The sequence below is a fragment of the Homo sapiens genome, chromosome 6 (assembly GCF_000001405.40).
Source record: "Homo sapiens chromosome 6, GRCh38.p14 Primary Assembly".
NCBI lineage: Eukaryota > Metazoa > Chordata > Mammalia > Primates > Hominidae > Homo > Homo sapiens.
Genome location: NC_000006.12, coordinates 131,835,609 through 131,853,563, shown reverse-complemented (window position 1 = coordinate 131,853,563; position 17,955 = coordinate 131,835,609). Strand labels below are relative to the sequence as shown.

At 36.9% G+C, this 17,955-nt stretch overlaps 1 protein-coding gene across 1 annotated transcript in view; it reads right to left on the bottom strand.

The window, feature by feature from the left end:
- Window positions 1-17,955, bottom strand: part of ENPP1 (ectonucleotide pyrophosphatase/phosphodiesterase 1) — an 87,136-nt gene that overhangs the window by 41,592 nt on the left and 27,589 nt on the right. The window contains exons 2-5 of the mRNA NM_006208.3: window positions 5,716-5,788; window positions 3,458-3,574; window positions 2,297-2,422; window positions 1,329-1,389 (exon numbers count right to left, since the gene is read on the bottom strand). Coding sequence (NP_006199.2) covers window positions 1,329-1,389; window positions 2,297-2,422; window positions 3,458-3,574; window positions 5,716-5,788 — 377 coding nt within the window. The remainder of the gene's footprint in view (window positions 1-1,328; window positions 1,390-2,296; window positions 2,423-3,457; window positions 3,575-5,715; window positions 5,789-17,955) is intronic.

The window sequence follows — 17,955 nt, the reverse complement described above, 5'->3', positions numbered from 1 at the left end:
GTCTTAACGGTCCATACAAAACTAGTTTTATTCAATCAACAGAAATCATAAAAGCAGGTTAGTGGGCCATCACGTAAACATACTGGTAAATTATCCAGTGTAATAATAAGTGTCCTAAGTTACAATCTTCTTGTAAAGAAAGGGTTATGTTTTCCACTAAAAGATTCAATATTACAACTGAAAAATTATAAGCAATATTTAGAAGAAAAAGAAAGATTTGAAATTCACTAAGTCTAACATTCCCAGTATTCCTTGGATTTAAAAGACAGTTTAGGGTACATGAAAATTTTCCTTAAAAAAAGGCTCTTCTGTTGAAATTATTTGGTTGAGGTTTAGTTTTGGCTGCTGTTGCTACTGCTTATTTAAATCAAAAGTACTTTTCCTTCCAAAAGAAAAAAAAGAAGACATATAACAAAAATTACATACATGAACAAAATGAACTAAAATACAGCTTAAAAATTTTAATAGTCTGGGAAAACTATCATTTTAAAGAGGTAAAAATACATTTCTGAAGATGAGTAATTCAAATGTATGAGATGGTAGACCTCAAATGGAACAAAGATAAATACACTTAACACCTTTATAAAATCTTCACCCTTTAAATTCCACACATACTCTTTTTGATGGTGTCATATATGGAAGACCCTGTACAAAATATCTGAAGGACAAAAAAACCAAATATGAATTATTTTAAAAAAATGTATCATCTCTCACAAATAGGTTGTTATCCCAAAAATGTATAAATGGACCAAAATACAAAAAAAAAAAGAAGCTAAATTTTCTACAAGTTTAGCAGCTCTAAAAACTCCAAATAAAAGTAAAGATCCTTCCTTCCTGAAAAGGAAAATGCAAATATTTTTATCTAGCATTCTTCAATACCAAAGACTAAATATTCATGGCCTCTCTTTTTTCTATAAACTTCCAGAATAGGGATAACTCCATAATCATCTCTGTTCCACCATTGCCAAACACAAGATCTGGCTAAAAATACAGGTTGGGCATCCCAAATCTGAAAATCTGACATCTCAAATGCTTCAAAATCCAAAACTTTTGAGCACTGACATGATGCTCAAAGGAAATGCTCACTGGAGCATTTGGGATTTTCAGATTTGAGATGCCCAAACTGGTATAACTCAAATATTGCAAAATCCAAAAAAGTCCAAAATCCAAAACAGTTCTCATACCAAACATTTTGGATAAAGGATACTCAACCTGTAATGTTTAATAAACCAGTGATTTTATTATTTTTATCATCTTAATTTGGAAAGAAAAAAATGATGCTGTACTTCTAAAAAAGAAAAAATTAATACCTCAGAATATAATCTTACCCTGCTGGGCACTGTGGCTCATTAATGCTCTCACATGGTTCTTCTACCCAACTTTTCTCACCTAAAATATTTTCAAGAAAATAAAATGAACACACTTAACAGTAATAATAATTGTGATGCTTGTGAGACACATTAAGACAGATTCCAAAAACAAAGTATGTGAACAGATTGATAGATAACACAGGACATGACTCTGGAGGTGTATAATCAATAAAGAGAATTATTGTGCTTCAAAATAAGAGTTAGTTGATATCAGGAATTAAAAATGGATGCACAATTGTAAGACTAAAACATACTACTGTATTTGTGAGAACTTGAAGGTATCTTTTCCATTTTCAAATTCTTAATATTTTCAGCCAAAATTTACAACCCTCCCCTTCTATCCACTCATCAAAATCCTTGGTATTTTGGTGTCTTAGTTCTCTCTCATATAGAGTCAGGTTCTGTCAAGAAATTTGAAAAAAAAATAATAATAATACCTGGACAAGACATCATAATAGTATCACCTTACAAAATGCCCTCGAATCTTTCTAAACAATTTCACATCGACTCTCTCAATGCACAGCAGACAGTGTCCCCATTTACTAGGAGGGAAGCCGGGACATAAAAGTCAGCCAGGACTGTAAGAGGGATCTTTCCACAAATACAACATCAAGTGTGCTGCTATTATCAAAATAACATGAGAGGGTGGTGGCAGGGGAATGAGTGGTTATAGATAAAATATTATTGGCCGTGTGCACATAATCATAATTATGAAGCTGGGTGATGGGTATAATGTTCATTACATACTCTCTCTCCCCATGTGTATGTTTAAAAGTTTCTTTAATAAAAAGTTTTAAAATTATTTTTTTCAGCTAATATAGTTGGCCAATAGCCATGACTCCTAATATAAAAGATAACACCTATGTAAAGCCCCGCTAAGACGCTGGAAGATACCAGGCTGCTGCAGAGCCCAACGAGCACCTGACCTTGACACACAGAACTGTAGTTGATGCAGCAGTCGCCCTTGTCCTTGCAGTCATCTGAACAGGCACAGAGGCTTCTGGTCAACCTTTTCTCACCACACCTGAATTTGTTGCAAGTCCATATATGTTCTAGAAACAAACATCAGCAAAATGTGTTTTATGTCTCAAATTCAACATGTCCAAAGTGAACACAGAATTGCTGTCTTCCTGAGTATGATCCATGAGCAACAATGAACAATTTCACAGCTCTTAGTCACTCACAGAATCTGCCACTACCATGGCCACTCTGAACTAATGGGGTAAAATATGTAGGAACCAATTATTATTATTTCACTAAAAGTCCAGAATTTTGTCATTTTCAAATTTAGATGCACCTTACCATATGCAATTCATATGTAGACCTGGCTTCTTCTACCTGCTAAAATTTAATCTAAGTCTGACTCTCAGGTCAAGGTGAGAGGATTGCTTGAGGCCAGGAGTTTGGGATCAACCTGGGCAATGTAGTGAGACCTCATCTCTACAAACATTTTAAAAATTAGCTGGGCATAATGGTGTGAGCCTGTAGTTCCAGCTACTTGGGAGGCTGAGGCAGGAGGATCTCTTGAGCCCAGGAGTTCAAGGTTGCAACGAGCCATGGTCGAGCAACGGCTCTCCAGCCTGGGTGACAGAACAAGTCCCTGTCTTTAAAAAATAAATACTAATGAAAAATAAATAAATCTCTCTCATTTAAAAATTATTCCATGTCATATGCAGAGAATTCCAAATCTAACTAAGAAAATTTTCATATTCTGATAGTTTTATTTTGAAAAATATAGGTGGACATATAAGATCTCTTGCCGTCAAAGAACCATAATGAAAATATTTCTATATTTCAAGCAGGCTTTTAGAATTTGAATGCAAATTAGATTACAAAGGCTTTCAGCATACATTAAAAATAGACAAAGTTCTGCTATCCATAAAATGTTTAACAGAGAAATTCTGTAAATTTTTTTCTCTTAAGGAACTGTTGAAAGAAAATATAAAAGCTAATGTCAAAACGTGTATGTATGCTAAACTAAAAAAAATTCAAATGAATTAGGTAAATCACATACCTGAAAGACACAGAACTTTCCTTGATCTTTTCCTAATGACCATAACTCCACTTTTTTCCCTGCTCATCCTTACCTGGTTCTATGCACGTCTCCTGGTAATCTAAACAGCAGTTTCCAAGCTCAACACAGGCAGCATCACAGCGACAGTTCCCAAATGTTCTCTCGAAACAGCGACCTTTGCAACTTTTAACTGAAAAAATTGAACGATAAGTCAGATGTTTCTAATCATTATATAATTCAAAGTAAACATCAACGAATACAACTAAGTTAGGTGTACACTAGGTTCAAATACTACTTTAGAAAATACAGATGGGGTAATAAAGTAAGGCAAAAATCTTTTCACAAATACACACAAAAAGTGATACAAACAGAAAGTAACCTTATGTGCCTGGTTTGTGATTTTTATCTCCTGATGTAGGAAAGAAAGATAACTTTTTAATGATTATTATTACAAACGTTACTGGGTCTGATAAGACTTAAATAACCATGGTGTGATAAAATAAAAGTCAGAATAAAGGCTTGTTCTGAATACTTTGTGCTATGAAAAAGTTGGCTTAAGCAGGCATGGGGTTCCCTAAAATTTCAAAATGTGGGAAAAATTTTTTTTAGAAGTGGTTAAGAATATTTTAGAAAGGAAAAGATTACCTAGCCTGCCTCACTCTCAATCCTGGTGTAAAGAAGTAGTGGGTTTGTTCAGAACATGCTCCCTGGCATAGCTCTTCCCTCCCTGACCTGAAACACCCATTTCACCTTTAGATCCAGACTGGCTCCCTCTAAAAAGCTTTCCTAACTCCCCAGCTAGGCCTGATTTCCATTTTTTTAAGCTCATATAAAACCTTGTCCTTCCCCTCAATTACTTAATTCCACACGTAACTAGGTTATTTGGTTAATATCCCAGTTAGACGGCAAACCAAGACCACATCTGGCTTTGCCCAGCATACTGTCTCCCTAAAACCCAGCCAGGTGCATGCCATATAGTTGAGATTAGCACATTTTTGCTAAATGAATAAATGGTAGACATGGGAGGAAAGTACTTTTCATGACAGTTTTTTACTGTTGAAGTTCATTACTAGATACCTTGAATAAGCCAGGTTTCACTGGAGAGCTAGAAAATTAGGACAATGAGAAAAAAAGAAAAAAAGGAACACATGGAAAATAAGGGACATCCAACAACAACAAAAAAGAAATAATCTTAGTTCTTGACTTTAATGGTGTTCTGACCCAAAAAGACACTGCCATGGAATTTACCTCTCATTTGACACTGGGAAATCAGGCAATTTTAAGAAGATGAAGTAACAATAATAATTTCTAGTGTCAGAAATACGAACTTTCCTGACCTGGAGTGGGGGTCAGGGAAGTCTATTGGAATAATAGCTATTACTTGGAGCTCATTAATATGCACCTAATAATTTTTAAAAATATGATGCATACTATGTTGGGCTTGGATTAAAATTGTTATTTTTCATTTTTAATTTGTATGTGTCAACTCAGGAGTGAATCACTTCATGCTAAAAGATGACATAGGTAAACACTAAAGTCTGTAACTGTTTACTTCAGTTAAACTTAGATACATGTGTTCTGAATAGTTTACTGATACATAAAATTACTACTTTTCAACAGTACATGATAGCTTAATAATCACTAAAAATTTTTTAAATAATTAATATTACAATCACAGAATAGCCAAACAGAAGAACCTGTTCAATTTTCAAAGCTGAATTCTCTAGAATGACCATCAATGATTTTATTGCGAGAGGATGGGGGGGGAACTACCTCAAAGACAAGATAATAACCACTACGATTTACTGTGATCCAGTTTAATTATTTATTATAATCTTGTCAATGCTGGATAGATTTCTGCAATTGATGGAAAGAAAAATATATCTAGAAGTTTAAAAAAATATCATTGTGGCTTTGAAACAACCAATGTCTGCAATTTTAGAACCTTAAGAGCACATACTGACAGGTTTCTGGTTGCCCAGGGATGGTAACTGTCACCTAGTAACCTACAGGGTTGCTTCAGCAACTAACTCCTTAGGGTAAAAGAGCAGTAAAGAATGTCCTCTGAGTCCCTGGAGGAAGTCAGGGAGCATGGGCTCCAGGACAACAGCATCAGAACCCCCGGCCATGTTTTGTAAGTAGAACTTTATATGACTAATATAATACAAGAACTTCAGGAAAAAGGCTCAAGCCAGCGTTGAATTGACAATATCTATGGAGTACCCATAGGAATAGGAGATAATGTTTACCTCAATCACATTCTTAATAAGGCTGTGCACACACATACACACACACACACACACACACACACACACACACACACCTAATTACCTTCTTTGGCACAGCTTGGTTTCAACCCAAATATACAACCAAGTATTGTTGTTAACACACATACTGACAATACCTGTAGGGAGAAAAGAGAAAATTACATGGTTTCTTTTTTAAAAAATATTTTATCTTATTTTTTATTTTTAGAGATAGTGTCTTACTCTGTTACCCAGGCTAGGGTACAGTGGCATGATCATAGTTCACTGTAACCTCGAAATCCTGGCATCAAGGGATCCTCCTGCCTCAGCCTCCCAAAGTGGGGGGATTATAGGCAAGAGCCACTAGGCCTGGCCTTATATAGTTTTAAAATCCTTTTATTTCTCCAAATGTTTTATTGCTTTAAATGTTTCTAAACTTTTTGGTGCTGTTCTTTTTTCCAGTCTGGGGCTAGTCACGTAGATGTGTTCACTTTTTGAAAATTCCAACTATACACTTGTGATTTGTATACATTTCTGTATTTTATACTTTAATAAAAAGTTTACTCAAATGTCAACCAACCATTCTATACCATCCAATGTTAATGTAATTAGAAACTCTCCTAGTTAGTATAAATGAATTAGTCATAAAAATTATAATTATTAAGGGAAAGAGAGAGAAAACTATTTACAGAGTCTGGATTTCCTATGTATCAATCCATTAAAGGCAATATGTGGAATATTATATGCCTCTTTTAACAGTTCTACACAAACCCAAACCTAACATCCTCACATGTACTGTGGTACCTTGTGGGAACGAGCCCTGAAGAGGGTCAGCTGACAACCTCCTGGACCAAGTGTTACCACAAACTAGTTGTGTGATTTCAGGCAGGTCACTTAAGCTTTCTAGATACCAGTTTATTCATCTATAAAATTTAAGGGTTGGACTACGTGATCTCTAAACATCTTTCCAGTGCTAACACTTTGCCACTTTCCCATTCTCCACTCTTCTGGTCTTTGACATTTTAAAATAAGTGGACACACCCTACAACCCCTAAGAACCATGACAGAACTTCTGTGAGTTAGAAGACAAAGGAGCGGAATAACCCACAAAACAATCCTCAATTTTTTTTAGTGTGACAAAGTTTCCTTGAAAGCTCCCTGGAATGTCAGATTACAGGGCACCTCAATAAAATATTAATTGAGTACCAATGATGCGCAAAGACTGTTATACACTGAAGGAAAAAATAAGAGATAGCTCAAGGGGTTTCTACTTGGGTAGGAGAAGTTAAAAACAGCACATCAGTGGCCCATATTTGGTAGGCCCTACAAACCGCCTGCAAAGTTCTACAGTTGTTTAAAGAAGGAGAAAGGTTGGGGTGGTTAGGGAGAGGGAGATCAGAAAGAGTTTCCTAGAGCAAGCTTTTGGCATGGCTCTGAATGGGGGGGAAATGATGGCGTGATGTTGCCAGGTGGAACTGGAGGAAGGAAAGAGAGGACAGAACACAGCAAACTTCTAGGAGAAAGGGCAGCATAAAGAAGGGTTCCACGAAGGCAGGCACATGGAAGGTGGCAGATAAATAATGAACAGCCTATCTTAGCTGAAACCAAGAAAATGCAAACGGGAATGGACAATGGGTGGAGGTATGGAAAGATGGTGTAGTATTTCCGGAAAGCTAAGGTGAAGAGATAATAGAGACAGGAGGAATGGGTGAATAGGACCAAGTAGATGGTTGGTGGAGGCTTTTATAAGAATTCATTCCTTCAGATGAAGAGTATTGAGTACGGACTATGTACTGGACATTCAGTAATAAAACAGACATGACCTCTGCTCTCGAGGTGCCTACTGTCAAGTGACTGCAAAGACTTAAGAGGAAGTGAATGGTAAGGAAAGTGAGGCAGCAGGTCTTACTTACTTCAAAATAAAATGGATAAAAGAAAGGAAGAGTTTTTGCAAAGAAAGCAAAAGGTTAGCCTTCTTTAAGGATGCAAAAACATGTGTTTTTCTTTGTGTGTGTGTGTATATTCCTTAAAATAAGGAGGTATCAGAGGAAGAGCTTGAGCAAGTCAACAAGGGCAAATAAGCAGAACAAGGTATCAGAAGAGAATAGTAATGGATTCTCCTAAACTTCTGATGGTGGTGTAAACTGACACAACTATATGGAAAGATAATCTCTAAAAATATCTATCAAAAACATCACAAACGGCCAGGCACTTTGAGAGGCTGAGGTGGGGGGATCACTTCAGGCCAGGAGTTTGAGACCAGCCTGGTCAACATGGTGAAACCCCATCTCTACTAAAAATACAAAAAATTAGCCCAGCATGGTGATGCACGCCTATAATCCCTGCTGCTCGGGGGCGCTTAGACAGGAGAATCGCTTGAACCCGGGAGGCGGAGGTTGCAGTGAGCACAGATCGCACCACTGCACTCCAGCCTGGGCGACAGAGCAAGATGCTCAAAAAAAATTAAAAAAAAAAAAAAAAACAAGCCAAAACAACAACAAAAACTGTTTTACTGTCAATTATAAATGTATAAGAAAATAAAACATAGTAAAACATCTATATTTAGTGTATTATAATTTAAAACATTAAAAACATGAAGAATTGGCCAGGCACGGTGGCTCATGCCTATAATCCCAGCACGCTGGGAGGCCAAGGCAGGTGGATCACGAGGTCAGGAGTTAAAGACCAGCCTGGCCAAGATGGTGAAACCCCGTCTCTACCAAAAATACAAAAATTAGCCAGGTGCAGTGGTAGGCTCCTGTAATCCCAGCTACTTGGGAGGCTGAGGCAGAGGTTGCAGTGAGCCAAGATCGCACCACTGCACTCCAGCCTGGGCGACACAGTGAAACTCTGTCTCAAGGAAAAAAAAAAAAAAAAAAAAAAAAAAAAACCATGAAGAATTGAAATTGTATTTATCTGTAAACTTATCTAGAATAGTCCAAACAGTACTTACCTTCTTCTCATCTATCACATAACTCACAATACAGAGTGAGAATATTTTCTGTGCCTTGGAGAATTGTCATATTCCATATTCCTTTCTAAGTTTAGATCAGTTTCCAATGTTTTCACATAAGCTTTGCACCTTCAACATTATGAAATGTCTCCAAGAGGAAGTTTTGTGGCAGTGTCACTCCCTCTGGGATATCTTCATTCTTTTTCTCACAACCACTCTCCTCATTTATGTCAAAAAATTCAGCTTCACTAGACTCCTCTGGCTTCATATCTGGAGTCTATTGCACCATGGCAGTGTTAGCATTCCCACGGTTAGCTGTTTCTTCCATAACTCCATTTACTTTGACTTCAATTTCACTTCCAGCATTATTACCTCCTTTCTTTTCTTTACTTTCATTCTTCATCAGTTCATTCACTTTTTCAATTATCCACTTTTTGAAAACGTCATATAGGTTTACCTCTGAGAGGCAAAGCAACAACACAACTACATGCTTTTGCTGTCTGTGCATGAACTGACTAAAAGATGCCTATGGGCTAATCACTGGCAGATTTTGAAAGAAATGATGCAATTGGTCACTGACCATAACTTGCACTTGCTATTTGCACAGTGATTTGTGGACTGATGAGCTAGCAGCAAAGTTTGTACTTTACGCAATTACTCACAGTTAATATATCTTGGTAAATGAAATTTGAACTATGTTGTTGGGAGCTGGTTTTATTTAATTAAACTGTGGTAACTGAAATTTGTGCATGTCAGAGAATCATGCAAAGCTAGTACTAACTGTACTCTCACAAGTGGCCAAAATAGTTGTCCAAGGTGTTTATTTCAAAACTGTATTCATAAAACAAATGAACAAAAAAACTAGGAACAACCTAAGCTCATTTTAAGGAAGCTGGTTGAACAAGTCATATTTTACTTATACAATAAAATACTCTCAGAGGGTTAGGCTCAGAGATAGGCATGTCAGAAGGCTGAGAGGAAGATATACACACACACACAAAAACACCACATACACACACAAAACAAACTAAGGTATAGCAACAGGAAGCTAGAAACAGCTGATGAGGAACCTCTTCAATCTTCTTGGCCAAGTAAGAAGCATCTGGGTGGGAGTGTGGAAGGAATAGAGAGGGCTTAGGGCATCCCATGTGAAAGATGGCAACAAACCAGTGGCGACAACAAAGACTGTCAACGAGGGAAGAGTAAAAAGACCCTCCAGCTCTGGGAGCCCAGCTTAATCTGAAATCATGGAATATAACAAACTTGAATGGCCTGAAATTCTAAGAGTGGAAGTGGGAAAATGGGGGAAAAAAAAAAAAAAGACGACATGCCCTGGGAGAGGGAAAGGTGGGGAAAACAGAATACAAAAGGGGATAAGAGAATTAAGGCATGGGTGGAATGGCTGAAAGGGGCAGGACAAATTGGATATGAGTATATGAGTAGAAGAACTAGATGGACAGGAAAACTACTATGGAAAGACTAGGTGGTAAGCAAGCATTTAAATGGTAACCATTGGTTTAAAATACACATGGTTTATATATAGCTCTTTATCCTCTTGTTAAGTAGCTGAAGACACATGCTGACTTTTAAAAATCACCTCTTCATTATTAAAAAGAAGTTCTTGATTTACCTTTTATAAGATGAGGCATAGCATAGAACTGAAACAAAAGTATGACAATAGAAATGATCATTTCTCATTGACAGTCACATCCATAAAAGATGAAATTTAGAATATCTACTACTTTGTTACAAAACACCTAATCAGAATGATTTTTAGTAGGAAATTCCCCTTCAATAATTTTCAGAGCTGTGAAACCTAATTTAGTTTGAATTTTCCTGTCAAAGCAGTTTAACTCATCAATATCATAATCTACCATCCATTTTAATCTCCATAACAATTTAGGTATTTTTCAAATTTTAATATTTTCTAAGAAACCATAGAAATACATCTTATCTTAGAAAACAAGAAACTGGGAGACAGAAAGTAAAAGCAAAGTTTTTGGAATATTTGGAGTTTCCTGCTTCTTTAGTTAACTAAATCATTAGTTCTTAGACATTTAGTGAGTCAAAAGAAATACTAAAAAAAAAATTTTTTTCCCTCACCAATTCCCTCAAATACAATGGCATTAATATCATGTGTATTATTCTTTCTGTATCAGGCATTCATTGAAATACGAGTGTCCACAATGTGCAGTCCCTGTACTAAAGACCAGAGATACAAATAAAACAACTCCTACCCTTACAGAGAAACAAAGGAAGTTGGCCGGGGGAAGCATTAGAACGAATGATTGCAATGGACTTCAGTAGAAACATGTAAAAAATGCTAACATACTAACAACACAGTGGAGAGCAGAAAAGAAGAAAAGGGTTTCAAAAGGCTTTACAAAGAGAGATTTGGAGAAAAAGGGACCTCTCCCTCTGTCAGTAAACAAAGGTTTGAGTATCTGCAAGATGCAATGTATTTAGATTCTGTGGGGAAATACAAAAAAAAAAAATAATTTGCAGTGAAGTCCTAATGTCAGAGTTTATAAATCTAATAAAGGCAACAACAACTCTGGAATGATGCCATAGGCTGATGATAAAGATATGACATAGTTAGAAGCAACCTAAGAAATGACATAGTGGTGACCATATATACGCCATGGTGCTTCATGCAAAGCCACAGAGGTAGGAAAGACAACACCAGCCTGGGAAGGAGAAAATAACAACAACAATCATGGCTGTCACTTCTCTAGTAATTCCTACGTGCCGGGCACTTTTCTAAGAGTTTTATATTAAATCATTTAATCCAAACTATAACATCACAAGACAGATTACGATTAACACAGTTTAAGGAAGGTGAGCTACAGAGGTTAGTAACTTGCCAAGGACCGGGGGTTGATAAGCATCCACAGCAAGATTTGAACCTAGGCAGGCAGAGTGTAAAGGAGGCAGGTAGGAGTGGGAAGGGAAGGGGCTGGAGGGAAAAGGGAGGGAACAAATGGGTCCTGAGGCAGCCTGCGGGCGGTCAGTGGAGTGTGTTCAGGCGCTGAAATATGAAAGTGACAGGACTGGATTTAATAATCCCAGAACGATCCCTTGGGATCATTGTGGAAGGCTATGTTATGAGTCCGGTGGGAAATGAGGTCTTGGACTTGCTAGACCCTCCTCACCGAGGAGATGCTAGCACCATGTTTCTCTAGGTCTTCCCTCACCCCTAGTTACTGCAGCTCTTACCATGCTCCATAAGATTTGTCTGTCTCTGACTAGACTGTGAGTTCCCGAGAGGCATGGATTTATTTATTCAACCCTGTGTTTTCCACATCTAGCATGGTGCCTTGCACAAAGTAAACATTCAACAAATAATCGTTAAGCTGAACATCAGCAAGCTGTGATTTAATTAAACATAAATGGGGAGAAACCATAAATCCCCTAATTTTCCTCATCTAAGCTGACAGAGTCAGTTTGTTAAGTGACATTGTGTCTGCATTACATAAAAGATACCTACAACAAATATACACACAAAATTTTGTTTAGGAAATGGTAGATTGCTGGATGTGGTATTCCAATGTGTCAGACGGTATGAAAGTGCCATTTGAAATGAATCAGCTGACTACATTGCCTATCAGTCCTCTGATCTTTGACCAAAGTTGCATGCTTTCTGAAAAAGAACTGTGAGGATTCAGACCAGCCTGGTGCTGGGAGTCTTCACGGGATTTCGTTTGCTGGAGGATGGGGATTCGATCCTATTGAGTAAATCCAGTGCCAAGAAACTTCTACAAGATATTCAAAGGGAGATTCAAAGACAACACATTCCTGAAGAACTTTGGAGCATTACAAAAGCTCAAAGCAGAAGTTAGAATCTCTTCTAAAAAAAGTTCCTAAGTCCACTCAAGCAGTTGTTCATGCATGCTTGGTCTCTTATGCACTCAGTATCATTTTAGTTACGCTAGATTTATCTGAAGAAGATCCTCTGAAACTGCAGTGAAACTTGATGTGAAGCCCTTTACATAACTAGTCACATGAAAATCAGGAAAAGGGACATCCAGCACTGAACAAGCACATCACATAGGGACAAATCTCACAATCTCTCAGTGAAACACTAAAACTAAAGAAATTGACACCTGCCTGGTAGAAAGAGCTTCAAGTTCAAAATGACTTTGGTTCAAATTCCACCTTTCAATTCATTATTCAGCATTGAACAAATATTTCTTGAGATCCTACTACATCTCAAGCACTGACCTAGTGCGGGAGAGACACCTGTGCACAAAACAACTGCAGTGGTCTCAGGCGGCTTGCATTCTTCTGACTTCTAGACAACCAGCAGCTGTGAAAGTAGGGAATGTTTCAAATCCTCACTAAGCCTCATTTTTAAATCTATGACGTGGTGATAATACCCACCTCACAAAGTTGGCAGGAGCCTTCGGCGGAATGTACAAAACATGCCTAGATTGGTGACGAGGGCATAGGGTTACTGAATAAATGGTAGTTCCTACTAGAAGTATCCAATCACTGAAAGGACTGGGCCCACTACGGATTCTTCCAAAGGGATAGTACAACTTTACCAATGTTTGTCAACTGTACGACAGCCTAGTTCCTATTTTCTTAAATGCCATAAACCAGTGCATTAACATTTTTCCTTTTTTTGTTTTAGTTCTACAGTAATCTGTTTTCAACAGTAGCTGAAGACCATGCAGGAGCAAGGAATCTGAGAAGAAATACAACAAATTATTTTGCAGGAAATGATGGCACTAGACATTTTAGTTATAGGTATACAGTGGCCTTCCAGCCCATGCTACTGAAAAGGGAATCCATGTAAACACCAATTTGTATTAATATATTAGAGATTTCTACAGATTCATATCTATCTGCACTTTTAATATATTGCAGCCCTAGACTGATTCAAGCATTTTGGGTACAAGTAGCTGTGAAAAATCCTAAAACAAATGCCATAAAACATCTATATTATTTGCACTTCTGGGAGTTTATACTAAGGTTAAGAAAGTATGTACAAATATTTAGATGTAAATATATACATTACAGTACTATGTATAAGAAAAAATAGACATACACATAATGTCCAAGAGTAGGAAAATAGCTAAAGAAATATAGACCATTTATATAACTGTTATACAGCCTTCTGTATATAACTGTATATAACTGTATATAACTGTATATATGGCTGTATATAACTGTTATACAGCCATGATTTAGAAGAATATTTAATTGACATGGAAAAATGACACATTATTGGGTATAAAGAACAGATGATAAAACAGAATGGGTAATATGGTCCCAATTTTTGGTTATACATAAATCTACACTTGATGGATGGGCTTACAAGTTATTTTGTCATCTTCTTAGTGTTTATATTTATTTTCCAAAGTTTCTCCAATGGACCCATGTACTTTTGGAATCAGTACACAGGACAACCACAGGACTAATGTGGGTATTAGTGACCCAGAGTAAACTCTTCCTCATTCTGGCATTTTAGGGGTTCTCAGCATAACAGTAAGCTCCTTCTCTGCCTATTTACCTTAAGCAAACTTCAATAAACAAATTCTGCCTGAATACTCAAAGCTCCATGAAATCTACCTAATCTCTCATCCTTAAATATAAATGAACCACCATGATTCACCAGTCATTGGAGGTAAGCCTAAGACAAAAGTCTAAGATCAACACAGAATGGTAAAGGGGAGAGGGGAATAGAAAAAAAAAATAGAAATAAAAAGACATCTTATTAAGTATATTCAATGGGATTCAAAAAGACATATACAAAACTTCACATCAAAGAGTCCTAATATCAAGTATCCAAAATAATAAATCATAGAAGAAGGCTCATACCGATTCACATCACTGCAAAATTCCAGGACAACGACAGTAAAAAGATCTTCAAGTGAAAGGCCATGCTAACTTCATAAACTAGGCTGTAAGGATGGTAAGATTAGAGTTCGTTTCTCCTTGGAGGTTTAGAAGAACTCAGTGGAGAACATATCTGGGCCTAGAAAAATCTGTGTAAGAAGTTTATTAATTTGTGGTTCAATCTCTTCATGGGCTAGAGAATTACTTAGATTTTCTAATTGTTCTTGAGTAATTTTGATAAGTTGTATTTTTTCTTGTAATTTTTCATTTCACCTACCTTTTCAAACATATGGTTATAAAGTTGTTTATAATAACCCTTTGTTATACTTTCAATGCCTGCAGCATCTCTATTTGTGTTCTTTTTCATTCTTGATATGATTTGTACTGCCACCCTTTTTTGTCTGTTTTTTACTTAATCAGGCTAACCAGGAGTAATCTTATCTTTTCTTTTGTATGCTTATTGTTATTTTATTAATTTCTGGTCTTACTCTTATTTTTCTTTCCTTCCATATCTAGGCTTAATGTTCTGGGTTTCGGGTTTTTTTTTTTCTTACTGTTAATATGGATGCTTAGATTATAGCTTTTCAGACTTTTCTTTTAATATTACTATCTAACTTGTAAACCCCTTTAGACATCATTGTTTTATAAGTTCATTTAAACTTACCAAATATTTACCACTTTCTTTATGCATTTTTTCTTCTCAGCTTTCATCTGGAATCATCAGCCTAAAGTACATCTTTTAGATTCTTCCTGATAGCAGACTCTCTCAGTATTCGTTAGTCTGCACATGTCTTTGGTTTATTCTTGTTTTTGAAAGATATTTCTACTGGATATGCAAATTCCAGTTTGGCAATTATTTTCTTTTGGCACAGTGATGATATCATTACACTACCTTATGCTTTAATCATCACCACTGAGAATCCAGTCATCAGACTATCATCCTTTTGAAGTGAATCTGTCTTATTTTCTCTAATAGCTTTAAACTTTTTTATTTTCAACTTTGTGTTCTACAATGTTATTCTGTTGTCAACATATATTTATTTTATCTATTCTACTTAAGATTCAATAAGCTACCTGAATCTAAAGATTGGTGTCTTTCATGAGTTCTTGAATTGTCATTTATTCAAATACTGTTCAAAATAAGAAATAAGGCAAGATAGATAATAGTAACAGAAAACAGTATATTATTTTAAAAAAGATCTAGAAAGTAAAAAAATAAAATTTCTAGAAATGAAAAATAAAATGAATAAAATTAACTCAATGATTTAAGAGCAAAAGAGACATGGTAGAAGACACTAAAGATTAAATATTAATGCCTGCCTATGTGATGCCTGGGAACATCTACTATGATAATTGTCTTAGAGCAGAATGCCCTACATCCTCATAATTATGTCAGCTTGGCAATTATGGGAATAGTAATATTTATTATCTCATTAACAGGTTTCAAGATTCACAGAAATCATTATAGGAATACCTATCAACTTACAGCTGGCATAGGTTGAAAATGACAATGATAGAAGGAAGGGGAAGTAGTAAAGAAGTAATGGAAGAGTTATTTTATAAACTTTGGTTTGTTTGTTTGGTTGGCTGGTTGGGTTTTTTTTTTTTTTTTTTTTTTTGAGACAGAGTCTCACACTGTCACCCAGGCTGGAGTACAGTGATGAGAGCTCACTGCAACCTCCGCCTCCCAGGTTCAAACGATTCTCCTGCTTCAGCCTCCCGAGTGGCTGGGACTACAGGCATGCGCCACCACACCCGGCTAAGTTTTGTATTTTTAGTAGAGACGGGGTTTCACCATGTTGGCCAGGATGGTCTCAAACTCCTGACCTCAGGTGATCTGCCCGCCTTGGCCTCCCAAAGTGCTGGGATTACAGGCATGAGCCATCGTGTCTGGCCTTTATAAACTTTTAAGTAATTTATCAAACTACACACACACACACACACACACACACACACACACACACACAATGACAACAGGAACCCCAAATAAGCTAGAAAACTCACTCTTGTTCTTGGTGGACAAGGTCATTTATTACCAAACCACTGCTTGTAAAGATTGACAAGAAGCAATCAGTAGGCTAATGGCAACATAACAGAGGGGAACCCTACTGGTTTCCTTTGCCTCTGCACAGATCCACACATAAGGTAGTACTTGTCACTACCTGCTCAAGCCCAGCTGCTAAAGCACGTCTAGGACCTCTCTGCATGAGCTCTAAGCAAGCTAAGGTCACAAGCACTTTCCCTAAAAAGGGATTCCTGCTTCTATGGATAAAAACAATCTCTGCCCTATGGATGCCAGTACCGCACTTTCCATAAACATAAAAGGAAGAATATTGGCTTTAAAATGAGTAATGTTAAGACAGGAGTCCACAAAAACATGCTTCAAAGACTTATCACAGCAATTTTGTTTGACTTTCCAAGAATCCACCATCAACCCATTTTTTTACAATAATGATTAATGAAATTGCTGGACGTATGCCATCATGTCAAACAGTACTTGCTTCTAATTTGTGTCAGTGTCATGAATCTCGTGCATTTAAAAAAACGCCAAGTTCTTCTATTATTTGGTAAGTGGGGAAAATCAGTAGCAGGCTGAGTTTAATAGATTTTATCTAAGTGGATTCTAATTGTGAATAAAGAGAACAATAAGATTTTGTCTAAGTGGATGCTAACTGTGAATAAAGAGAACAGTATTCATTAAAACACACACACACACACACACACTCGGCTGGGTGTGGTGACTCACACATGTAATCCCAGCACTTTGGGAGGCTGAGGCGGGCAGATCACCTGAGGTCAGGAGTTCAAGACCAGCCTGACCAACATGGTGAAACCCTGTCTCTACTAAAAATACAAAAAATTAGCCAGGCATGGCAGTGGGTGCCTGTAATCCCAGCTACTAGGGAGGCTGAGGCAGGAGAATCGCTTGAACCCAGGAGGCAGAGGTTGCAGTAAACTGAGATCACTCCATTGCACTCCAGCCTGGGCAGCAAGAACAAAACTCCATCTCAAAAAAAAAAAAGAAAACCACACACTCTTTTTGGGGATCTTTTGTGCTTTCTGTCACATCTTTCTTTTAAAAGAACAGAAGACAAGAGAAATAAAGTCAGAGAAGGTTGAGAAGTTTTACGATTACGACACGAAATGGAAATCCTTAAGTGGTGCCCATATGTCACTTAGGGGATCTGGGCCTTTAACCTTTCTTTAAATGAAAAATTAAGATAATCACAAGTATATTTTTTTAATTTTCAAGTATGATATGATGTACATGAAAGAGAACACAATCCCCTAAATCTAATATAATGTTAGGAGTCACTGGTAATAGAAAATTGCAGCTCAAAACAATTACTTTAAATGATGAGAACACATGGACACATGAGGGGGGAACAACACACACTGGGCCTGTCAGGGGTGCAGGGAGGGAAAGCATCAGGAAGAATAGCTAATGGATGCTGGGCTTAATACCTGGGTGATGGGATGATCTGTACGGGAAACCACCATGGCACATGTTCACCTATGAAACAAACCTGC